Source organism: Homo sapiens, chromosome 4 (assembly GCF_000001405.40).
Source record: "Homo sapiens chromosome 4, GRCh38.p14 Primary Assembly".
Lineage (NCBI taxonomy): Eukaryota > Metazoa > Chordata > Mammalia > Primates > Hominidae > Homo > Homo sapiens.
Window position 1 is genome coordinate 74,721,797 of NC_000004.12, and position 27,150 is coordinate 74,748,946.

The 27,150-nt window shown below is 38.2% G+C and overlaps 1 protein-coding gene across 4 annotated transcripts in view; it reads right to left on the bottom strand.

The window, feature by feature from the left end:
• Positions 1-22,962: 22,962 nt before the first annotated feature.
• BTC (betacellulin) overlaps positions 22,963-27,150 on the bottom strand; it is a 49,765-nt gene continuing 45,577 nt past the window's right edge. For 2 of the 4 annotated variants that reach the window (NM_001316963.2, NM_001729.4), the window contains 2 exons: positions 26,244-26,353; positions 22,963-24,879 (listed from right to left, as the gene is read on the bottom strand). In NM_001316963.2, coding sequence (NP_001303892.1) covers positions 26,245-26,353 — 109 coding nt within the window. In that variant the 3' untranslated portion in view covers positions 22,963-24,879; position 26,244. Of the gene's footprint in view, positions 25,527-26,243; positions 26,354-27,150 lie in introns of all 4 variants that reach the window. The other 2 variants (XM_047416103.1, XM_011532211.2) reach the window with 1 other exon arrangement.

The window sequence follows — 27,150 nt, forward strand, 5'->3', positions numbered from 1 at the left end:
TTTTATTTCTCCTTCACTTATGAAGCTTAGTTTGGCTGGATATGAAATTCTGGGTTGAAAATTCTTTTCTTTAAGAATGTTGAATATTGGCCCCCACTCTCTTCTGGCTTGTAGGGTTTCTGCCGAGAGATCCGCTGTTAGTCTGATGGGCTTTCCTTTGAGGGTAACCCGACCTTTCTCTCTGGCTGCCCTTAACATTTTTTCCTTCATTTCAACTTTGGTGAATCTGACAATTATGTGTCTTGGAGTTGCTCTTCTCGAGGAGTATCTTTGTGGCGTTCTCTGTATTTCCTGAATCTGAACGTTGGCCTGCCTTGCTAGATTGGGGAAGTTCTCCTGGATAATATCCTGCAGAGTGTTTTCCAACTTGGTTCCATTCTCCACATCACTTTCAGGTACACCAATCAGACGTAGATTTGGTCTTTTCACATAGTCCCATATTTCTTGTAGGCTTTGCTCATTTCTTTTTATTCTTTTTTCTCTAACCTTCCCTTCTCGCTTCATTTCATTCATTTCATCTTCCATTGCTGATACCCTTTCTTCCAGTTGATCGCATCGGCTCCTGAGGCTTCTGCATTCTTCACGTAGTTCTCGAGCCTTGGTTTTCAGCTCCATCAGCTCCTTTAAGCACTTCTCTGTATTGGTTATTCTAGTTATACATTCTTCTAAATTTTTTTCAAAGTTTTCAACTTCTTTGCCTTTGGTTTGAATGTCCTCCCGTAGCTCAGAGTAATTTGATCGTCTGAAGCCTTCTTCTCTCAGCTCGTCAAAATCATTCTCCATCCAGCTTTGTTCTGTTGCTAGTGAGGAACTGCGTTCCTTTGGAGGAGGAGAGGCGCTCTGCGTTTTAGAGTTTCCAGTTTTTCTGTTCTGTTTTTTCCCCATCTTTGTGGTTTTATCTACTTTTGGTCTTTGATGATGGTGATGTACAGATGGGTTTTCGGTGTAGATGTCCTTTCTGGTTGTTAGTTTTCCTTCTAACAGACAGGACCCTCAGCTGCAGGTCTGTTGGAATACCCTGCCGTGTGAGGTGTCAGTGTGCCCCTGCTGGGGGGTGCCTCCCAGTTAGGCTGCTCGGGGGTCAGGGGTCAGGGACCCACTTGAGGAGGCAGTCTGCCCGTTCTCAGATCTCCAGCTGCGTGCTGGGAGAACCACTGCTCTCTTCAAAGCTGTCAGACAGGGACACTTAAGTCTGCAGAGGTTACTGCTGTCTTTTTGTTTGTCTGTGCCCTGCCCCCAGAGGTGGAGCCTACAGAGGCAGGCAGGTCTCCTTGAGCTGTGGTGGGCTCCACTCAGTTCGAGCTTCCCGGCTGCTTTGTTTACCTAAGCAAGCCTGGGCAATGGCGGGCGCCCCTCCCCCAGCCTCGTTGCCGCCTTGCAGTTTGATCTCAGACTGCTGTGCTAGCAATCAGCGAGATTCCGTGGGCGTAGGACCCTCTGAGCCAGGTGTGGGATATAGTCTCGTGGTGCGCCGTTTCTTAAGCCGGTCTGAAAAGCGCAATATTCGGGTGGGAGTGACCCGATTTTCCAGGTACGTCCGTCACCCCTTTCTTTGACTCGGAAAGGGAACTCCCTGACCCCTTGCGCTTCCCAGGTGAGGCAATGCCTCGCCCTGCTTCGGCTTGCGCACGGTGCGCACACACACTGGCCTGCGCCCACTGTCTGGCACTCCCTATTGAGATGAACCCGGTACCTCAGATGGAAATGCAGAAATCACCCGTCTTCTGCGTCGCTCACGCTGGGAGCTGTAGACCGGAGCTGTTCCTATTCGGCCATCTTGGCTCCTCCTCCGCTTCCTGACTTTTTAATGATTGCCATTCTAACTGGTGTGAGATGGTATCTCATTGTGGTTTTGATTTGCATTTCTCTGATGGCCAGTGATGATGAGCATTTTTTCATGTGTTTTTTGGCTGCATAAATTATTTACATCAACAACCATTTCTCCTAGTCCTCATGTTACAGGAAAGACAGTATTATTTCGTTTTTACATATGAGATTGATGACCCCAAATACATGCATTTTCTTCTCCTTCTCTTACGTCCAGTTAAGAATGTCATGCGTTATAGATAAGAATGGCAAATAATCCACCTCTATCACCAACACCCTTATTTTCTCATATAGTTTCATTTTTTTTCTCATCTCTAAACTTCCACATATTTTGCTGCTTCTCTCTCTCAACAAACTTATATATTTCCCTAGGACTGGTCCAGAGAACCATTCTATAGAGAAACTGCCCTCAATTAGTATGGATCAGTGACCTAAAACAGATCCTGAATACACTGATTCTCCTATTTACTCAATATTTTGGAATGAATATTCATTCATTCCAAAAAGATGTATGTAACTCCTCCAACATATCAGCTATCAGAATAGGTAAAGACCCATCCTCACGGGATTTCCAATCTGCGCCCCTGCAGTACAATTCCAGTCTTTGTAACATCATGTCAATGATGCCTTAATGCTGACTTCCAAGGAAAAAAGGATCAATTCCAAAGTAATTCTCGAGACTTCCTCCAGTAAGCCCATTGATTTTCCTTGCAAAGAGCTGAAACTTTTGTGACACTTACAGAGCCACTAATTATGTGGTTTGTTTACCAAGCAGCATTGCCATTTGTATTATCCATTTTCATGCCGCTGTTAAAAACAAACCCAAGACTGGGCAATTTACAAAGGGAAGAGGTTTAATGGAGAACTCACAGTTCCGCGTAGTTGGGGAAGCCTCACAATCATGGCAGAAGGCAAGGAGGAGCAAGTCACATCTTATGTAGATGGCATCAGCCAAAGAGAGAGCTTGTGCAGACAAACTCCTGTTTTTAAAGCCATTAGATGTTGTGAGACTTATTAACTATCACGAGAAGAGCACAGGAAAGACCACTCCCTCCAACCCGTGATTCAGTTATCTCCCACCAGGCCCCTCCCACAACTCGTGGGAATTATGGGAGCTACAAGATGAGATTTGGGTGGGAACACAGAGCCAAAACATATCACCACTCAAAACACACTCCAACAGCAAAAAGGAATTTCAAAGTAATTATATTTCTCACATTATGGGAAACGGGTACCTAAGCCAGGAGAGTATTTCTTAGCCCCACCTTTTTGTTCCTCCCACTTCTCTCACATCCTTTCTACTGTGCTTCTCTTACCCAGTCTCCCTGGAAAACCCCTTGATTGCCTCTAGCCAACCCCTTCCTTTTTCCCCTTGCTTCCATGTCCTCCAGATCCTTCATCACAAAAGTCCAAACTGCCAGCTTCAGCAAGAAAGGAACATCCCTGGATTGCAGGAGAAGGAAAAAAGTTGAAGATGCCAAGCCAAGCCAGAGGGAAGGAAAGGCGAGATACTCCGTGATTTAATCATGTTACAGCCTCACAAAGATGCAAAAGATTCCTGTTTACTTGCCGTAGTATGACTCATTCTGGAAAGAGGAGTTTCAATCAGTTGGTTTTACATTTTCTTCTTCTGTGATATGTGTGTGTCTGTATGTGTTTGTACAGATAGATATATAAAGGATCAGATTTATATATAAAATTATATATCCTTGATATGTAAGTATATATTATATATTTATATTTATTATAGATTTATATTTATTAGATATATATGCATATAATTTACTTATATATATTTTATAAATATAAATATTTTATATTTTTATAATATGTAAATACATATGTATCTTTTATAAATGTTTGCTCTGAAGTTCTACTTAAAGATCCCTCCTTACACACACACACACACACACACATATGCATATGCACATACATGCATACACACAGCTCTCTGATACATGGCCATGATGTGAGATAACATCTCTTTTACAGCTTAAAGGTACTGGCCAGCTTTGCTATCCTGAGCACTTCATTTATGAAATGGCCTTCACTAGATCATAAAACAACAGAAATTTGAATGGCCTGAAACTCTTCTCCAGTTCTAACAAGTATTCTGAAAGCCAAGACAAAGTTCTAGAATGGAAAGAAAACCATAACAAAATAAATTAGTTCACAATTTTTGTGACATTCGTTAGCAACAGCCTGGAAGTGACCAAAAATCATACTCATGACACCTTTAAATATGGTAGGATTATTAATTATATTGAAATCAGTCCCCTCAACTTAGATATGAGAAAACTGAGAACAGTTTCCTTATCTGTCCCTGGATGCATAAAAACTTCTGCCTAGGTTCCCAGGAGACTTACTTTATCTTCAAACAGCAAAATTTGAGATCACATGTGATTTTTTATTTTCAGATCATGAATAAAACAAATGGAAAGAGAAAGAAAAGAAAAAACAAGAGAGAGAATGTGTCAAGTTAAAATGTCAAAGGGACACAGATATCAACTGAAAGAACTCTTACTGGCCATAGCTGCATAATTTGGCAAAATGAATAAATTATTATTTATAACCCAAAGTATAAAGTAAATATTCACGATCCACACTGATATAAATAAATTATTAAATAAATAGAGGAAAGTAGACAAATATTCCATTGAGAATAACTTCAAATAATTTATGTAGCTACTTCACCCTCAAGAAGGTGGAGCATAGTTCCCCACCCCTTATGTGTGGGATACACACAGTAACTTTCTTCCAAAAATAGGAAAAAGATGAAAATAAGAATAACTTTACCATAGAGGAATCTGACAAATATTACCACAGGCAGATGATCAGGGTTATCATCAATAATGACAACTTAGGTTGGTAACCTTGATATGAAATGGCTCTTTACCTCTATAGGTCTCCCCAGTAACCTGTGATCTCAATCCAATCATGACAAAAACATCAGACCTATACCGATGGAGGGTCACTCTACAAAATACCCTACCTCTACTCCTCAAAACTTCTCAGGTCATCAAAAACAAAAAACCAAGAGGAGTCTAAGGAGACATGAGGACAAAATGCAATGTCACTCTGATTAGGAACCTAGAACAGATAAAGAACACTAATGAAACATTAAGGAAATCTGTGTAAAGCATGGACTTTAGATGATATACCATATCAATATTGGTTTTTCAGTTATAACAATTTGAACCATACTAACATAAGAAAATAACAGGAGAAGCTAGGTGTGAGGATATATGAGAATTCTCTACACAGTTTTCACAGTTTTTCTGTAAATCTGAAACTGTTCTGAAAGTAAAGTTTATTCTAAAAAGTGATTTAAATGATTCAGACTCTAAATGCAAAAAAATTAAGAATAATTATTTTTTGCCTATGTCTTTTAAGCACTTTACATAGCAAAAATGTAAGAAATCTGTATTAGAGGGAACAAAAGAAAGTTTATGAATAGCTGTAATGCTATTTCAACTTAAAAATGCTATTTCAACTTGCAAAACAAGCAGATAAAAGTCTTTGCTTTGTTTTAGACATTATATTGTAATTGTGTTTAAAATTAGCAAGATGTAACATTTATTCTCTGACATGTATCTTCCGAAGAGTCACAGTGGTTGAGAGTCAATTAAGACATAATCCATGTGAAATTTTTATTAGACCAAATTTACTGTGAAATTACTACCAACATATACTTCGGTCTATTTTCTTGAGTTATTTCCTAGTTATTCAGCCTTTTAGTTAGAGCTTCAGATTATAACAAATGCCTTGGAAAGCAATTTTTAAAGTTGTAATTACAATACCCTAGTAGAATCACATATTGTTTCTCTTTGCCCAGATATAGCACCCAGTAAAATGTTTGATGAATGAATAAAATTTCTTTCTATTGTTTCATTTAGTACACTTTCTGTCTCTAGACTATCTCATGGATGTGATTATAAATTGGTTTGGTGCCTCAGCTTTCTTCCAAATGGATTATCTCACAACACAATCCTAACTGGAAGGCCTTGATTAACAGCTGATGCAAATCTCTGTACCTTCTGGACTTGTGTAGCTGTTTGTGTGTTAGTTAAATTTATAAACTGGAGGGGGAAAAAAGCTGCTATAGCACATAGATCTCTTTGCACTATCTTAACAGATGTTATTCCATTAATGCTATTTTATTGGAAGATAGAAATGGAACTCCTTAGTCTCTCATCTTCTGTATATCTGTGCAAATCCAACCAATATCAGTTAGCTTTTGCTGCATAACAAAGCACCTCAAAATTTAGTGATTTAAAACAACACCATTGTATTTAGCTCATGATCCTCTGAGTTGTCAGACTGATGGGACTTTCTTCACATTAGATCTCGTCTTACAGGAAGCCAGTTCATTCTTTTCAAATGGAGCAGTCCCAGAATAAGAAAGAGTGACTCCAATGCACAAGAACTTTTCAAACCTCTGCCTGTATCATGTTTTCCAGTGTGCCACTGGCCAAAGCGAGTCACGTAGATAAATCCACAACTTAAGGGGTTGAGAAGTAATTCTACCTCTTAATGAGAGAAACTGCTAAATATTGTGTCTATTTTGTCTTAATTTACCACAGTCCACTCTCTGGTTTAAATTATTTAAATTATTCACAATGCAAAATACACTGAGCATCTACGACTGCCTCAAAATCTGATCCAACATGACAGCAGTCTCAAGAGCTAATATCTTGCAATTTGTATCTTCTTCAAATGTGGATGAGGGTCCTCACGTGTCACATGTTGACACTTCCTTTTGACCCAGAGACCTCTCAAACTTAAGAAGAGATATCTGCTCTTTACATTCCTAACATGCAATGCTGAAGTAGGGACAAAATAATCATCACAGAGATTCTCATTTGAAAAGAAAAGAAATGACAGACATACAGTAGTTGCTGTTTTGTAGTAGTAATTCTGAAGTCCAACTGGATATTTACTGTCAGATTTTCCACACAGAATCACAAGGAATGATCCCTGGTTAGAATGCAATTCTGCTCCCAGGGAGTGGTTTCCTCCCCCAATGTCCTTTCTTTCTTGGTTCCACTCCCTACACTCTTGTTTTCACCATCTGAGATGTCCTTCATTTTCCATAAGAAATGACACATGTCTGAAACTGAGAAGTGTTCTCAGATTGCTTCTTTTCTACTTGTAAAAATTTGGGAACCCAGCAAAAATTTGTTTGAATCATTCCTGTCCATTTTTGTCCAAATTTACAGTGCTTTTGCCCTGCGATTCTCTTTAAAAACATTGGGAGATTGTGATGATTCTAAGTTGAGTCCACTTCATGACTCTCCACAATTCTTTTTTGACATACCTGTCTCTATTTAGGGTGTGCCTGGCTGCTGTGACAGAATGCCTATAAGAGTCTTAGAAACTCTTTTATCTAACTGAAAGATATGTGACAGAATGTGACAGAATGCCTATAAGAGTCTTAGAAACTCTTTTATCTAACTGAAAGGTCTACTATACACTAAATTTAAACACATTTCAACAAATCTTAACAAATTTCTAGAAGTCTTAATAAAGGATTGTATAACTGAACTTTGTATTTTGCATTAATTATTTATTTCATTTTGAGGATCTTATACTAGTTGCAGAAACTAGAGATGAGAGAATTTTATTTTCCAATCCAGAAAATTCTAAGACTCCTGTATTTCCTCTAAATTCTATCTAAAACTGAACAGTTATTTCTTTACCTTTTATCTTTCTTGAAATAACTTATCATACTCATCTAGAAGAAGCTAATTGACACTTTCAACACTCTGCTTGGAAGTTTTCCTCTCCACATCCACAAGTTAGTTAAGTACATTCTATCTTGCAAGTTATTATGGTAACAGTTTTGCCAATAGTTTTGCTGCCACATCATACTGGTGTCCATTTTGTTTCAACCTGCTGTAGCAGTTTCAGGTCACCACTTACATTTTTTCATTTTGACATTTTACCAGCAGTTTCTAACAGTTTCCTTTCTAATTTGTTAACCTTTACCAGCTACCTAATCCTTAAATCAATGTCATATGTTTTAGGTTTTGTTATGGAAGCATCCCACTGTACAACAACTCATGTCAATTAGTTATTGCTGTATAACAAACCATCCCAAAACATAATGACATGCAACAACAACCATTTCATTTAGCTCACAATTCTCAAAGTGGTTTGGATGGCTCAGGTCATGTTCCAAATTATTCTTCACCCTCAGTTAACTAGCCCAGGTGTCTTTGTAAGGTATGGTCTCAGGGGTCCCAGCAACAAGAGGTATCAAGTCCCAGTGTGCAAGCACTGCTCAAGTCCCATTGGCCAAAGCAAACACATAGCTAAGCTCAGATTTAAGAGGTGGAAAAATTGACTCCGTCTCTTGATGGAAGGAACTGCAAAAGATTGTGGCCATTTAATTTCAATCTACCACGCAGTCCATCATTCAAAATAGCTCGCATGTCACACCCTCTAATAATTGTTTACTGAGTGCTTTCTCTCTCCCTGTCAGTCTCTCTCTGTCTCCCCCGCAACCCCCTCTTTTCCCCAGATTTAGTACAAAGAGACCTGGGTCATGGGTCTGGCTCTACCATCAAATTGTAACCTTGAATAAATCATTGCATTTTTCGGAGGCTTAATTTCCTCATCTACAAAATGATCTTTGATTCAATGAGAACAAAAACATTATCTACCTCTGAAAGATATGATTTTACCTAAGCTAGCAGCGGTAAAAATGTGGTTTGAAATAGGAGGAAAACATTCAGCTACTCTCAAGTCTAAGCAGGAAGGACAGTACCCTTGTTGTTCCTGCCAACACAGTTTTAAATTAAGTCTGGGTTTTGGATTTTTTTTCCACTTAAAATGATGGGTCACTTATCTTCATCTTCCTAAAAATCAAACCCTTTTTCATAGTAGAGTCTTGACTTTCCCTTGAGTTCATCTCATTTCCATTTTTATTCTCAAGACTCCTATCACTATTCTTTACAGAAATACAGCATGGAAATCCTTTTGTCCAGTTTACGTTCTAATGTTTATCAGCATCAATCTAAGAAAGTTTAAAGTGCATTAATTTATTAAATATTTGGTGCATACCTAATACATGCTAAGTGTTAGAGATAAACTGGTCAGCAGAAATAGATATAGTTCCTGTCTCCATGTAACTATACTTGTGGGAGAGGCAGGTATTTACCAAATAGGGACATAAAGACAACTAAATCAAAATATAGTAGCTACTACAAAGAGAATATACAGATTACTAAAACTACATATAAACGGAGGTCTAGCCTAGTGTAGGACTATCAGGGAAGACAAACAAAAGAAGCAAATTTAAATAGAGATGTGAAAAATGATGAGCATTTAGCCAGACAAAGGAGAGGGTGATATTATAAGCAAAAGAAACGATATGATAAGCAAAAGAAACATTTTCCACTTGTGAATTACAGTACCTCGGACAAGTTCCTTGAGCTCAGATTTTGAGCCTATTTCCTTATCTGCACAATAGGGATATAAATCATTATACCTATACCATGGAATGAATTAGATTTCTTTTATAAGATGTTTAACATAGTACCTGGTAAGTACTTAATAAGTATTTTCTGTTGGTGGTAACAATTTGGAGCTGGGCTTCCTGAATTTGAATTCTGCATTTGCCACTTAACTAGCTGTGTGATCCTGGGCGAGGCATTCACCCAGGTCCTTTAGCTTCCTCGAGATAATATCAGGGTAACCTTAACTACTTCAACTATCATAGGATTGCTGGGAGGCTTGCATGAGTTCCTATGGGAAGCATTAAAACAGTTCTTGGCACATAGTAGATGCTCCATGAATGTTAGCTGTTATTAGGACTAAAGAAAGCTCACAACTGTTCCATTAGGCATTTAGAAATCATTCTATGACTTTTAAGAAAATTGAGACTCAAAAAGTGTAAGTATCTGCTCAAGTTTACTTAGCTAACAAACTGCATGATTTGAAACTCAAACACACATTTTCTGATTCCAAACTCGCTCCATGAGGCCTCCCCAAGCCTAGGTAAAAAACGTCATCTTCGAACTTCAAGAAAGGACCTTTGGATAATTGACATAATAATATTGCCATTGGCAATAATGTGCCTTGTTCTTTTCCAAATCAGTAAAGACTAATTTTCTGAGATAGTCCTGAGCTGTGGAGAAATAAATGGGGAAATAAAAAGGGTTGTATGTGTATGTGTATTTTGCATAACTGAATTTTTTGTGTTACAATACTTTAACTACAGCACTAAGAAAATCATGCTTATAACAAGAAATAAGTCTCAGATTTGAATATAAACAGTAAGATGAAAAGACAAAAAAAAATGCCCTGGACCTTGAAGCCCTCTTCATTTTATAAGGCAAAATGAGAGCTTTTTAACTTATAAAATAAATAGTCAAGATGCCCTGGCCACATGTGGTGGCTCACACCTGTAATCCCAGCACTTTGGGAGGCAAAGGCAGGCGGATCACCTAAGGTCAAGAGTTCGAGACCAGCCTGCCCAACATGGTGAAATCCCATCTTTACTAAAAATACAAAAATTAGCCAGGTATGGTGGCAGGCACCTGTAATCCCAGCTACTCGGGAGGCTGAGGCAGGAGAGTCACTTGAACCCAGGAGGCGGACGTTGCAGGGAGCTGAGAGCATGCCACTGCACTCCATCCTGGGTGACAGAGCGAGACTCCATCTCAAAAAAAGAAAAAATTAAATAAATATTAAAAAAAGATGCCCCTATGTAATAAGTTGTCAGTGTCAAATGCTGATGGAAAAATATCGCAACAGAGTTGAGTCAGACCCAGGTCTGTCTGACTCCAAACTCTTGTGCTGTCCACCACAGCACTCCTGTCAATGCAGGCGCCACCAGGGGTTATTTGCAATGGTTCTCTTACAGTCTCCTGGAAGAGAGAAAATGAGATAGAAGGGTTGGTGAAAAAGCACTAAAATGTGTAGAAACCTGGGGTTAGGAGTGACTTTAGGATTCACCTGGTATATGCCTGAAAGGGGACTGTGGTTCACTTTTTCAAAGGCCAAGAAAATTCAGATTTGGGAAAAATAAGGCATTAAGGCCTAACAAATCCTTAATATTCATCCTTTCTCTTCTCTTTTGGTTTGGTTTCCAAGGCAACCTATATTTTCTGAGCAGTTTTATGTGTATTTGCTGAAGGCAGGTGATTGCTTTCCCTCAGCCTGATGGGGGTTGGGGGAAGAAGCAGTCCAGAGAGAGGCCATTTAGAAGAAGGAATCTTGTTTAATGTTATGGGAACTCTTAGACTAAAGTCTTTAAAAGTTACTGAGTTAAAACTCTGTTGTATGCATTATCTGAAACATAAATTATTATCAAGAAGATGAGGAGGAGAGAGAGAAAGAGAGAGAGGATGGAAGGGAATAAACGCGAGTGTGTGTGACGCTCCCCTGAGGCTCCTAGCTAAATTCTTGCTATTTTCAGTGCTTGCCTTCACACTCCTAGGGCATTTTGTCTGCACTCACTCCTCTCTCCACCCCCTCATCCTTCTGCACTTTGACCTCTGCTTCTGCCACTGCACAGAAGTAGAAGAGGCTGGCTGACCTGTAGGGAAGCCATATGCCGATGGTACAACAGGGGCCTTGACGTCGGTGCCACAAACCCAGAAACTCCCCTTCCCCACCTCAAGTTCTCTGCCTCTCTGCCTGAGGGCCTTTTCCAACACAGAGGAGCATTTCTTTACCTGTGAGCAGGAGACCCTACAGGTGCAGGGGATTGAATGTCACCCCCGGGGGTAACCCTCAGCCATGGAGGAACAGGTGTATGTGAATAAATACTCCATCTTGACACCAGCCTTGGTGGAATATTTCTTAGGGGCAATCTCACAGTTCCTCAGGTAGATTCAAGTGGAATTAAGCTCAGCTGTCCACAGAGGTAATTATCTCACTAACATACCCTCAGTGGCTTCTCCACTTCATTTTCCCCATTTCTGCCTCATTTCATCATGTGTATCATGGAACTAGCTCCCAAATAAACAATTTCTTCCAAGTACTCATCTCAAAGCCTTCTTTTAGGTGAATTCAAACCAAGATACTAGCATATCCCTTTCTTGGCATCAGTGTGTCTGCAATATAATAATAATTAGATTACTATTAATAATTATTAATTATTGATTATTAAAGCAAAATGAAGTCAATATTTTTGAGGGTCAACACTGCTCCAATGCTTCACTCTGGATTCCATCAGGGAAACAGAATCTCCCTAGGTCTCCACGTAGAAGAGTTGTACTGCAGGGCATTAGAGGCCTATGCAGCCTTTGGAAAAGCTAGGGAATCAAAGGTCAGGAAAGCTACAGCTAGAAGCATGTGATTCTCAGGCACACACCTGGAAACCACTGCAAACCATATGGCTGCCATCTGTTCAGATAACAGCTTACAACTGCAGCTGGAGAATGGCACCTTCTCTTCTACCTTCCAAATACTGTGCAGATTAGAAGATTGTAATCTAGAACTATAAGAGGAAAAGGATTCTGAAAAAAAGGTTCCAGGTTTCTGCCCTGCAATGCAGAGGGAAATGCAGAAAAGAATGTGGTAAATTTACGTGTATAGCAAATAACTCAGGTCACCCAGGTGGAATCTGCAGAGGCCAGAAGCCTGACACATAGACAGTGCTGAATAAACACTGACAAATTCTTGCTACCCAATTTCTTCTTTTCTACACTCCATGAGGACCATCATCTATCATACTATTTGATATGATTAGGCAGAGAGTTTCTAGTTTGGCCATCAGAGATGTCTATAACAACAAGGTTGTCCAAAACTTACATACCCAGTTCCCTTGACTGGTCAGCTAACCCTACAGAGGCTTTGCAGCCAAGTATTTACAAAACATGTTAGTATATCCAAATCTTACATCATTTTCACCACTCCATCCCTCTATGGCTGCTATCACTCCTAAATCCTCCCGGAGGAGTTCTCTAAGTTATATCAGTCTAGTTAAGCATATACTTGTTCATATACTTTAAGGCACCTATTGAGAGCTGACTCTTTCATGCTTTACTCCAAGTGGGACCATCTGTAGACTGAGGGAAAAGTGAATATTTTCATATTTTCTACAGAACGGATCATTGCTTCTGACTGGTATAAACCTCCAACTTTTTTTCAGTGTCATGTGCTACCACAGATCACCTTGTCCTGCTCATTTCCTTCCTTTTTTGCTTTGATTTTCCTTACATTGAACTTCTTTTGTTCTGTTCCCAACTCCAGCCTTTCCTTCTGTTTCATCCCCTTTCTTCCTTCCAGGCTTTACCTGCACTTTTCTGCCTCTATCTCTATGGAGGTCCTTAACACTTGAAAGCATAACTGATGACTTTGAGAACTGATCACTTTGAGATTCTGATCAACCTACAGACATTCAATTCACAGAAAAATTCACATGAGCATGTATTGGAAAGAGGCAGGGAAGGGAGTTAATTCCACATTTTCATCTTCTTCTTTTGCCTCACTGAGCGTACAGCCCTGTGCCAGTCTCCCATGGTCATAACAGTCAGCTATTGCCAATGAGGAAGCATAGTTACCCTGCATGCCTCAGTTCTTATGTGGTATGGATGTTAGGTTGATAACTAAACACCCTGCCATGTGGCCTGCCCTGCCACAAAAGGCCAAATGGCAAGGTGAGCAAACACCACAGAGGCTGTGATAGACAGAGGCCGGATGGAGGATGAGCTGAGAGCCAGTGAGATATGAGAGAAGTCAAGTCAGCAAGGGCAGGATGCACTGCTCCCTGGGATCATACCTGTACCTCAGAGTTCAGCATTCAAGGCCAACAGAACTGCACATCAGTCAGGTGGGCGAGGGACCATGTTCTTGAATAACTATGGACACCTGCCATAACAATCTGAAGACCCACGTGAGGCCCTTTCTTCATCCCCTCCGTACCATGGTAGTGAGAGAAACAGGAGATGCAGATTCTCGGAGAGCCCATGCTTTGGATTCCCGGCAAGTTAGGAAATTGCTGAAAGGGACTTTTCACATTTCTCAAATAGGCTAAATTTAAACCAGATTGGACATTTAATTGTTTTAATTTTCCCCTTACTAGCAGATGAGCATTCAGGAGAGAAAAACTGATTAGTAATGGACTAAATTAATTTATTGAACTTCCTTTTCCTGCACAACCAATTTAGAATGTGAGTTACGCTTTTTAAATCAAAACATACACAAAAATTGGCATTTTTTTCAGGCATTCACACAGCACCTCTGATGGTTAAGATTCCTATTCTATATTCATACCTTCAAAATACCATTTACTCAACATGGTTACACTCCTTTTCAAAGTCCACATTTTCAACCCAAATGTATAATTTATACTAGCAAGATATCTTAACTTTGATGTTTCATAGGCAAGCTGAAACTCAATGGATGCGCAGTGTAAAATTGGTTCCATCTCACCTCATTCCTGCTGTCATGAGCACGGCTTTTCTATGTCCCAGTTTCCGTTGCCCACAGCATCGAAGTTACCTATGTCTCCTTCTTTTCTGCTTTATTTCTAACCATACCTAATGTCAAATCCTGATGCTTTCTTTCTTTTGCTGTATATCTAGGTATTACCCCTTATCTCACCATTTTCACATTCACATTACTGCTGCAAATCAAGACACTGCAAATCCTCTCAGCTTCTCCTCATGACCTCAGTATCTGGTCCCATTAGTCCATCTCCAACATTCTCAGGTAATTCTTCTTGAAGTTGTGATTTCTTTACTTTATCTTTCCCTGCCCAAGATTGTTTTTTCTTTACCAAGACTTTTTCAAGAACTTCAGGGCTACATTCCCAACTGCTTGCTGGATGTCTCTACAGAGATGTCCCCAGTGTACTCAAGTCTATTTTTTTTAACCAAAGTCATTTTCTTTACTATGGCATCCAAGTGCCCACTCCCAGTCAGCTCCTCCTCCTCTAATCCATATCTCAAATAATCACACCAAGAACTTGCTGGTCACCAGTTTGGAGCTAACAGTCTTCTCAAGGAGTCTGGCCTCCCTCACATCTCCAAATTCAACAGATCGCAAAATCATGTTGATTCTCTGACCAAAACATCTTGAGCATATTACAGCCTTTCCATTTCTACCTCTCAATTCCAGTTCCTGTCATTTCCCCTGCCTTCCATCTCTCAACTTTTCATTTTACCCTTTATAATGCCTGCAGAATTATTTTCCTAAACCATGCATCTTATCACGTCACTAGCCTGCTCAAAACCTTGTCTTTGCCATTCAGTAAAGTGCAAGAAAACTTGCCATGACATATCAGGTGCCAGACAGCCTCATTTTAAGCATATGACCCTTTGCATCCCATAATCTACTATTCCATGTGAGGGTTGTCAGATTTAGCAAATAAAAATACAGGATGCCCAGATAAGCAGCAATATTTGGAACATACACTGCAATATTTGTTTATCTGAAATTCAAATTTAACTGGATGTCTTTCTTTTATCTGGCAACACTATTCCATATAGCATATTACAAATGTGCCATACATTTACAAACCCATGTGATCTTGTTTGTAATGGCTGTTCTCTTCAAATGGAATTCTTCACTTACTCTCTCACCTATTAATTTCTCATCCGTTTTATAGATTTTTTTTTACCAATAGACAAGATCCATCTCCTCTTTCCTCCTGGGATGGATCTTGTCTAAAGACCTGTAGGGGAATACAATTAAGACTCGACTTTCTGCTTTCCTAAGGTGGCCTATATTAAAGATAAAGTGATTTATAATATAACTCAAGGGGAGGGGGATGGGAGTCAGAGATGTTTGCCTAACATAATAATGCCAAGGTAATGGTTTTCAAAAAATAGACTTAAAAATTCACTAATAAAAGGGATACAGATATCTCTCAAGGGGCATGGCAGAGAATAAATCCCTTTAACGGCAAGATTTGCTTGATCAGATACTTAATAGGGGTATAGTCGAAGGCCTCCGTGTTTGCCTGGGGAGTGGGTAGGGAAGAAACCAGCATACCCCAAGACAAAGCCATCTCTCTCTGTGAAAACACATAGGCATCCTGACACAGGTATGGCTAAGGCCACTAAGCTTGTGAGACAGCAGGAGAACCTAAGGAGTTTGAACTTTGATTAGGAAAGAACCCAGGAAACAGGGAAGGGAGAGGGTATTCTCCATTGTCTCCATTTTCTCCTTCCATTCCATTCTGGTTTCCCTGCACAGAAGGCAAGGACCATAACTAATGCAATGCTTTCTTTAAATTCCAGGTTCTCATGTGCTGAGAACAGGGAAAATACTCATAAACATGTGTCCACAAATCAACCACAATACAGCTGGTCCCACTAGGGCTTCCTGAGTGCATAGTGTATCTCAGGTACTCTGCCATGGCCAGGCCCAGCTACATAATTTGGGGGATCTAGTACCAAATGAAAATGCTAGGAATCTTGTTCAAAAATTATTGAGAATTTCAATTACAGTGTCATCCCTATACAGAGGCTGTGGGCTGCAGAGGTCACACATCCATGAAGTTCATAAAAACTCTGGACACCAACCCATGGGGAAGACATTATATCAAGTTACAGATTAAGGAACAGAGCCTGGGTAAATTTATGTTCTTTACTAGAACTCATATCACTAGCAAGGACTAGAGTTTACATTAAAACTCAATCCAAAGGACTTTGTATGAAATCTCCAGAGTGTTGGTGGGAATCATTGAAATGTAATTTTTTTAGATTTTAGTGGATATTTTGTTTGTTTATGGAAAACTGCATATAGAGCCTGCCAGTTTTACTCTCCCATCCTTCCTTTTGTCAACAACCAGGTCTGGGATCAGAGTATGAAGAGTGAGGTACCCACTTGCTCTGGCCCAAAATTTAAGGGTTTAAAAAAACTCAGGAGTCAAGGTAAATAATATTCAATGTGATATCTTCTAAAAAATCTAAATTACTTTTTAAAAATTCACAGTGAACAAAATATCAAACTTGTAGATAAAGACAGGCAATGATTATTTGTTTTACGACCTTGCATTATTATGAAATGTGAACAGTCTGTTTCCAATCAGCCTGCAGTTCCCTGGCCTGTGGCTATCAGGTCCCCAGAAGCTTGTGAGACACCAAGTTTTATGAGGGTTGACAAAAGTATGTGAACAGGGTGGACAATGAAAGGCTTTATATGTACGTATACACATAGATGTAATTTTAAACATGACTATGTATATAGTCATGTTTTTTGATTATAGAGTGCTTACTAACATTTTCTAGTTGGTTCAAAATATAGGAGAGTATTTTGATGTGTATATTTAAGAGGAACATATTTTTTCCTTTTTGCCTCAAGCTCCAATATGGCTTGGCATGACACTGTTGGCAACGAATTGTATTCTTGAGTATCAATTTACATAAGGCCTATGATTCATGATATGCTCCATATGTTGTGAAATTGGTGATACACACCCACTCTGTCCATAAAATCCCAAAGAGTATTTTGTCCAATAGACAGAATTAACTGTATGTGGAAGCAGACAGTCATTTGGATAACAAAATGAGCACTTGTTACATTCATCATTATCTGTATGAACATTGCACCAGGACATTTCTTGGGCTAGGCACCTGATTTATACCAGCAGCATTCACCACTTCTCAATTAATTGAAAATTCCTCTGTTCTTGAACTGACCCAGAACTTGAACGTCTCCTCACTTATACTTGCCAATCACATTTCATTTATTCTTTCGGGTCTAGGTACACACCACCTCTTCAGAGAAGTGTTCTCTAATCCCTTCAGTCTATAATCTATACTAGAAAGTATTGTGTGTTCATGTAAAACTCTCATCTCTAACGGAGAACAAAATTCTTGGCAGCATGAACTGAGTCTAGTTCATCTTTTTCCCTTTAGCACTTTGCGTAATGCATACCATAGATGCTAAATATTCACTGGATGAATGAATGAACTATTTGGCCTTTTATTATAGCTATTTATGTATATGTCTTTCTCCCACTTGAAAAAAATGCACTGTCTCTTAATCTCCTTTAACTCTCCCCTTGCACTTAGAACACTTTTGTGTATGTGCCCATTGTCAGTGTTCAGTTATATTTAAATAATTAAATTAGAACCTGAAGGTAGTTTACAAAAATAATGAGTTTGATTTTAAACATGTTACAGATGTCATGTAAGGTGATTTTATTACCACACCAAAATTAAGAAGACTCTGCTGCTGCTGAAGTATAACTTTCGATGTATTGGAAACGTTTATAACAATAATATCTCCCCTATGAGTTTAAAAAAATTACTACATCTTAATTATCATGAAGGTAAACATCTACCTAGTTAGTGCCTTGGTGACAACTTGCAGACTGGTGGGGCCTAAATTAATGACATGACATTGAATTCAAGAGACTCAAGCACTATGGAGTTAATTTTGATTATCAATAAACAGATTTTTTAAATTACATCTATTTGTATAAAACTTTTAAAATTACATTTGTGTGTATAAAACTTTACTATTTGCAAAAGCTTTAGGAACATCCAGATACTTTCCTAGAGGTCAACTTCTTCATATCATGTGTTGATTGAGAAAAATAGTTTGATCCCATCGAGTTGTGTTACTCTTCAGTAAGAGCATCCCTTGGCAAGGGTGCAAACTCTACTGCTCAGTCTATATGTTGTACTCAATGTTCTTTTCTCATATTTGCTAAGCCTGTTAAATCTGATTGAAAGCTTTAATTCTTTAAATAGAAAAACAATCATCTGACTGATATAAAATTCTCAGATTCTTCTGTTCTTGTACAGTTTTTCAATATTTAAAATGTTTTAAAGATCTGTCAAATACATAGTTTCAGTAATCATTTATTTAGCCTATTGGCAGGGTCCAGAACAATAAGCTTCTTTTTCTTTTCATCTAGAAGATAGATAATTCCAGTGTACTTTCATTTCAAGATGGAGATGCCAAAGTTGAGAGGCAGATGAGTGTGATTTACAAGTTGTATGACCCTTAGCAGGGTACTTACGCTTCCTGAGCATAAGGTTTATCATCCAGAAGACGGTATCGTAATACTTACTGAGCAGGCCAATTGTGAGTAACAAATAGCAGAGGTTATTCCCAGTCCCTGCCCAAGTTATTTTTAAAATCTCCCTTAATGTTGAACATACAAGTAGTGCAGAGTATAACTCCACCTTCAAAAATATCTATCATATCTCTGTCTCAGCATAATTTTGAAAATTATTGGGCTCTCAGTTATTTTCAATAGTCTTAGAGTGATTCTTCCTTATTCTTTCTCATTGGGGGCTTTTAAGGAAGGAGTTGGGAAGGGAGAAAGGAAGAATATGGAGAGAAAAATGAAGTAATTTCATAGGACTAGTCACTGAGCTGGAATTCTTCACCTAAACATAACTTGTTCTAATAGGAATAGAAAGACACTCTTTTCCACAGGGATCATGAATTCTTAAAAAATACAGAAACTTTTCAATGTATCAGTGCAGTGACTCAACTTCAGAAAATAATTTCTTGTTTTCCACAGAAGTAATTAGAGAATATCATTATCATCATCATCACTATCATCATTGCTATGATTATTGATCTTAGTAATAATAATTAACATCAATTGAGCCCATACCTAGAGAATATTTAAAATATTCCACGTGCTGAGCTGAGCATTTTACTGACTTTATCTCATTTAAGTCTCTCAACCCACCTTATTTATTATTTATTTTGACTTTGCTGACAAAAACATTAGTAAGGTTAAATAACTTGCCCAGGGCCTCACAGTAAGTGGCAGACCTAGAATTGAAGCCTACATCTGTCTGAATAAAAGATCCTATGTCCATCACCTTTGTATTATGATAGTTCAGTAGCAAATTTCTCCTATCCCTATTGCAGTCACAGAATTATCAGGAGCACTGGCTTGGCTAAGAGCTCAGATATTTTGAAGTCCAGTTGAAGTTAGGAGGCAGAGTGATGGTGATACAACACCTGAGACCAGATTATCTTTAATGTAAGAGTAAAACAGACAAAAACCAGGCAACCAAACAAAAAACACCGTGTAAATGATTTTTTAGAATTGCTAGCTCTGGTTCATTGGATAAACAAAATGTTCTTAGAATGTTAAAAAAGAATGTGCTAGAAACAAGTTTATTTTAATTAATTTACATATTGTAGTATTTCAAAAATGGTATTAGAGAACAAGTCAGAGATACAAGTTTTTCTGTCACTTCTTACTAAAGCCCAAAATACTGTAAATCATTATTTAGCTTGGATCACAGAGTTTCAGAATATTTTATTATTCTGCATATATCTTGGAAGAATAATTATACTTGCTAGAGAAAGCAACACTAGAGTTCCATGTTTGTGAATAATTTTGTTTGACATTTTTAAAATAAATTGATTAGAAACAAAATAAAGAAAACAAGCCTTGAGTACCTCTGCTGCATATTTTTTTCTTGTAATTTAAACTTGAATAAAAAAATAAAATATAAAAGGAAAGTTCTTTAAAAACATGTTTTGTTAACACTTCTATTTGAGTACAATTACTGACTATAATTTTTGATTAAACATATTGAAGGCCATATTTTTAAATTTCCAAAAACCATCATTCAGCTCTTGAAAATAATCACTAGTATAGTTTCTGTAGTTGTATAGTTTATACAGTTTCCTCATATAAAATTTCAGACTGCTTCAAACACTAATAGCTGACACATCCTGGGGAAGAATTAGGAGCTTACAGAAGTTCCACTTAGATATTATTATAAGATACACATTCCTAGGATCCAACGACATTAGCAAACAGGCAAGAGTACACTATTTGCACATTATGTTCTGGCATTAACATTTAGTTAACAAAGATGATCACATGGGAACAGGGTCCTTTGTAGAAAAATGCTTTGAAGCATAGAAGATGTTTTGAAGAAGAGCAGATGTCCAAATGTAGCACCAATATTAAGCATAGCAAAAATAAATATTTGACAGCAAAAACATAGTTATACTTTGTTTGTTCTATATAATCATTATTAAAATATGAAAATTATTCAGTCAAGGAAAACCTGCCAAACCTATGATATACTGAGATCTTCCATGAGTTCATCTTGAGTTTTATGCTCTAAGACACTTGTTTAAGTTAAAGTCTAGACGCAATGTCCTCAGTATAAGATAACTTCTTGGATAAGTATTGTTTTAAATTCCATGCTATGAAAGATTAAATCCACTAGAAGATAAGCTTCATGAGGTCATAGGGTTTTTTAAATTATTTTATGCAAGTGGTATACCCCTAGCACCTAAGGTACTTGGCATTTAGCAGAAACCTAATAAATATTTTTGTATGAATTAATTAATGAAAGCAGTGCCCCAATATGTTTAGGCATAACAAGGTACATTCACAATATACTCAAATGAAGATTTCATTAAAGCTATAGCTGAGTCTTAAAGCCATGGGTTTTGAAATATGTTCTGGACTTCATTTACTAAATATTGCACAAACAGGGTCTTATCTAAATAAGGTTATTTGACCTGGAACATTTTACTCCACTCTCAATGTGACTTGCTTTTACCATGGGCAATAAAATAAAGTGGAAAATGGGAAAGTCCTAAATAACTAACTGTAGGAAACTATAAAAATCTCTCCCCACCACCTCAGGACATCACTTAATCAGATAGCATCATTGGGACCAGAAACATCTACTCTCACAGCTCACGTGCCCACATGCTCTACCCTGCTATGCCCAGGACAGCCTGGAACAAGGGATGAAGGCTTGATTCTTTCTCTTCACTTGTTCCCTTGAAGCACCACCTCCTGGTCCCTCCACTTCTGGTGCTTTCAGAGGAACTCAGTAGAATTTGAGAAAGACTTAAGAAATATTTGATGAGTCCAGGAGTTTAAGACCAGCCCGGGCAACATAGGAAGACCCCTCTCAAGGAAAAAAAAAAAAGCCAGGCATGGTGGTACATGCCTGTGGTCCCAGCTTCTCAGGAGGCTGAGTGGAAGGATTGCTTGAGCCTGGGAGGTTGAGGCTATGATGGTGCCACTGCACTGCAGCGTGGGGGACAGCAAGACTCTGTCTCCAAAAAAAAGAAAAAAGAAATATTTGAGCTTACCAAAGATTTGGGACAGAGGCCTTTATTTCTCAGAGCCAATCATCAGTTCAGATGTAATTTCCTACAGGAGCTTTCCCTGATTCTTACTAAGCAGGGCTAAGTGACACTCCTCTCTGTTCCTTAATACCTTGAGCTTCTCTCAGAGCAACAAATTGCATTGAAATGTTCAGTGAGTAGCTGTTTCCCCCACTTAGAAACTCTAAACTTCTAAGAGTCATTCCTTCTTAGCATTTGTCACAGTGGGTGGAACAGGACCAGAAATACAATGGTGCCCAATCAATGCTTGCTGAACTCCCTGCTCCCTCTCCATGCTCCCATCAGTGTCTGTGTGGTGCAAACAGAATGCTGTTGCTGGAAATGTTCATTTAATATGATAAAAGACACTATTTGAAAATAATAATTTGATATTTTGTTTTACAGAAGATGTCGTTTCCTCTTTAAGAAACCATTGTCCACAATCTCAGGATGCACCTGAGTTGGTAAGGATCTTGGTTCCAGGTTACAGAAACCCAAACAGAACTAGCTTAAGACAGACGAAGAATTTATTATGAAGACACTAACATGTCTCATCGTGCCCATAGACAGGAATGGTGCTAAACTCTGAGAATGCCTGTAATCAGGACTCATGTTCTGTCGGGAAATTTGTGCCTTTTCTCTGTTTTTCACTCAGCGTTTGCTTAAATCTTCTCTTGCTATATGCTGACCAGATTCCTTTGTTTTACTTTTCCACATGAAGCAAAAGGTAACTGCCAATAGCTTCAAAATGCATATTTTTTCACCCCAAGAACCCAAAGAAGACTGACTTCAGTTCAAGTTTCCAATTTCTCTGGGAATGACTCTAATTGGCCCAAGTTTATTAAGTGCCCACCTCAGACCAATCAAATGCAGCTGGAGGTGGAGTTCAAAAATATGGCCAGGATATTGGCAAGACAGTCCCATAGATGTCCAACACACTCCCAGATGCTTTAGTTCCTAAAGAAAACACATGGTCAGGATGGATTCTTTCAAGTACACTAATGGATAGGGTTTACAAAGCATAAGGTGTTTAAAAGCAATAGTGTTCAAATTTATTTTCATTAGTAATTCATGGTAAAATAAAAAATTCCCAAGTAACCACACGTTTACTTTGTTTTAAAAATAAATTTATTTTATTACATGATAATATTGACAGTTTACATAAACAAAGTTATTTAGTGTATGCAAAGCAACTATAAAATACATTTTGAAAAGATATAAAAATCTTTGAAATTCTTTCTTGATATCAGATCTACCAAATTTCGAGAGCCACCATTGATATTTTAGGATCAAAACAAAATGGCTTGAGAGATTTTGTTGGTCAGCCAAACTCAGTCCAGGAAAAAAGAAACATTAAAGCATTGTTTTGTGTTTTTAAAAGCTCTAATGGATATTTATTCCAAGCTCCTTTCGTATCGAAGAAGACTACATAAGAGAAAGGGCATGAATGAGCTTAAATGAGACTTTTGAAAATAAGGCATATACAACATGGATCAGTTGGATATAATTGTGTTTCAAGTATGACCATTAAATCAGGAGAAAAAATAGATTTTGAAAATTATCAGTTGTTTGGCTTAGCTTTTACTAATAGGGGAGCTATTTATGTATCATATGTAAGTACAGCCCCAGCTTCACTCAAAACACCATGGATGCTAGAAGGTAATATGCGATTTCAGCATTTGTCTGAATTCTCCACTTCACTATGGAATCTACATTGCAAAGTAAAATTTGCAAAGATTCTAAAAAAGAAGCTGCTTGGCCGACAGGCACAAGTTGGGGGGCATCTTCCATCGATTTTTGTAAGTGAACCACGTAATCAATGTAAAAAGTTAAATATTCTATGAAATATTCACTAAATGTAGATTGTGCTTTTCCAGGTTTAAAGCAGTGTTTATTAAATATTTCATGGAGTAAAGGAGCACTTGGCAAGATGGTCCCAAGTAATAGATGTTATGGTCATGAATTTACTGCATCAAAATTTACCTGAGAGCAATCATATATGCTGTCATCAAGAACATAAATGAGGATATGGTCACAACCGGTCCCTACCTGGTCTCTCCAGTGTTGTCACTGACCATTACTCCCATATAAACAGCCTCTTTCAGTAATATTATTTATATTTTATTGAGCATAAACACTTACCCAGGGCTTAAGGAATGCCAAGCATTTACTTTTCCATCTCTATTCATTTCCCTAGTTATGGGGCCAATCTATTTGCTTTAATAATGTAAAAATGTAGTCACATCATTGAGAATTTATAAAGGAGCAAAGAAACATAATAAAAGCCAATTCTATAGAAAGCATGATGGTAACAGCAATATAGGCCAGGATTTCTCATTCTGTGTGCCTGTGGGAAGACGGTCTTGACATCTCACAATCATACCAAAACACAGTTCAGTATAAAACCTTGGGTTATATTATTGAGTTAGGTTGCACCGATTCAGACTAACAAAAATGATGGTTAAGAGCATAGATTTTGATTTAGATAAATCTTGATTTCTAGTCTGTCTCTACCAATCTCCAACTCTCTAAATCTGGATTAGATTATTTGACTTGACTTCTTTGGCCCTGTTTCCATATGTAGGAAATGAGGATTATAATAGCTATCTCATGGATTGCTGAAAGGAATAAAGGAAATAATATATTTCAAACTTATTAGCACATGGTAAATGCTTGATAAATGGTAGCTTTATTATTAATTCAATTCCTAAGACCTAACCTCCTTTCTACTTTTCTTTTTTGTTTGACTAGTAATCCTGGTGACAATACTTAAGTGAAAGGTTATTGAAATTTCCCTTCTGTTGTTGCTACCTAACCAGTTGCTTTTTTCCCAATTACTAGACAATATACATATAATTAATGTTCTTATTAAAAAATAATAACACAAACTAAAGTTGCAAATAAAAAGTAAATACATTATTTAAAATTCATGTCTACTAGCTGTTTTCCTGAGACACATTCTGTCCATTTTCAAATGAGCAAGGCACTTTGCAGCTTGCCACCAACCTGGAGGTAACTTCATAGCCTCTGAGAATGAAGAAAATAACAGCACATCACTTAAAAGAAATGGACTATGCAATAATAATAATAATTTAAAAATCCAGAGCCAGCCATTTTGTTTTCAATTCAATAATGTTGTTTTTGTAATAAGTTAGGAGCACATATAATTTCTCGTCAAGCATTTACCAACCCCATTAAGCTGCTGGGATTTTCTGGAAGAGATTCTTTGTACAACTGAGCTGTGGAAAGACACTACTCTCTCATACTGGATGTAAACGAGGAAGCTTGTAGCCCTAATTGCTACTGGCCTTTCTTAGGACCTAAGAGGAACTGACCAAGGATGAAAGCCAACTCAGAATAGTGAGCAGAAAGAGGGAAATAATCTGGTTCCTTACGTGTGAGCCTCTGGTTTGACAAGTGTGAAGCCCACCTTACCTCTGGACTGCCATTCATGTGAGCCAATACGTTGCCTTCATTTTAAGCCAGTTTGAGTTGGATTTTATGTTATTACAACCAAAACTATCCTGCTTTGTTGTGCTAGTTACGCGTCATGTGCCTTCTTGGAGCCTTTCTCTGCCCTGCTCTGTCTCCAGGAGACTGGCCACTTCAGATTCCATCACCAGGGCTCCATTGCCCTCTGGTTTCTGGTGGGTTTAGCTAGTAGGAGGCACCTGCTGAAGATCCGAAGGCGAAAGGAGAGAAAGTTTGGAATACTTCTTCCCCTATTTCCTCCCTCTGTCCTTGTTTATATCTGACAGTGGCTACTCCCTCCACAACCACAGCTCCTGCCTAGGGGACCCTCCTCCAATGTGCCTCTGAATGCTAAGGTAATATTTACCTTGGCCCTTCCTGTAGAGGAAGGGCAACAGCTCCCAACAATTCTCAAGCTCAGGGAGACTCAGTATACCTTTTCTTAACCTTGATCCATGGTTCTTGCATTACAATCTCTCTATTGGATCATCTGAGAAGATTTGTGATTCCTGAACAATCCTTACTGATGCTACATTTAAAGAGCTTGTAACAGTGCTTGGCATTGTGGTAAATGCTCAATATATGTAGTTATTATTGCTATTGTTATTTTCTTTCAATGTGAAGTGTCTATATTAAAATACCTCTTTCCTGTGCCCAAAAATGAGAAAGAAAAAATTATATAAATATCCCCACAACCATGCAGAATTAGAATGCCTATCTCTGTGGTAACATGCAGAAAAAAGATATGAGGAAGTATTTTATCTGGCTTCAGATTCTATGAAAAAAACCATTGATTTATTTTTAGATGTTTTTAAATATAATCAAATTCTAATGAATGATTTAGTAGATGCAAGTAAGCCCAATCTAACCAGTTAAATGTCACCTGAATAGTTTTCTATCAGCAAGTTTATCTCACTTACTTTAAGCAATATTTGTCTCTTCAATATCTTCATTGATAGGAGTTATATCTTTACCCAGAGTTTCCATTTCTTCTTCTTTCTTCTTTCTTTTACGACGTTTCCGAAGAGGGCTTGGAAAATACGTGTTAGAAGTTAGTATGGGCCTAGTAGTTCATGCGAACACAAAATTATCCATCAAGAGATCCTATGATCAGGTTTCTTTTTTTAAAAAAATATTTAGGGTTCTAGGCCGGGCGCAGTGGCTCACGCCTGTAATCCCAGCACTTTGGGAGGCCGAGGCAGGTGGATCACAAGGTCAGGAGATTGAGACCACGCTGAAACCCCGTCTCTACTAAAAATACAAAAAATTGGCCGGACGTGGTGGTGGGCGCCTGTAGTCCCAGCTACTCGGGAGGCTGAGGCAGGAGAATGGCGTGAACCCGGGAGGCGGAGCTTGCAGTGAGCCGAGATTGCGCCACTGCACTCCAGCCTGGGCGACAGAGTGAGACTCCGTCACAAAAAAAAAAAATTAGGGTTCTCTCTTAACCCATCTCTTTCTCTAGGTTCAGATGATAGGTATAATAGGCAACAGTGTGGGTAGAATATAGTTATCTAAATAGAAAAAATGTCACTTATATTGATGGAGTTTAGTTAGCAGAAGAAAATTTTTCAGGCCAAGTTATTTTACAAAATAGACTAATAAGTATTATGTAGTGTACACGTAGTGTAAAAGAAACAGTACAAATTGGAAACAGGCATAAGAAAAACAAGAGTGACACAGCGTTTGGATATATTAACTGAGCTTCTAGATACATTAAGAAATGTGTTAGATTTCCAGACTGCATTACTGTTTTCCTAAAGTGCAGCTCCAAGTTGATATAACAAAATAGGCCGTTTCCCAGCTTTGCCCAACTGATTCTCTGCCCTA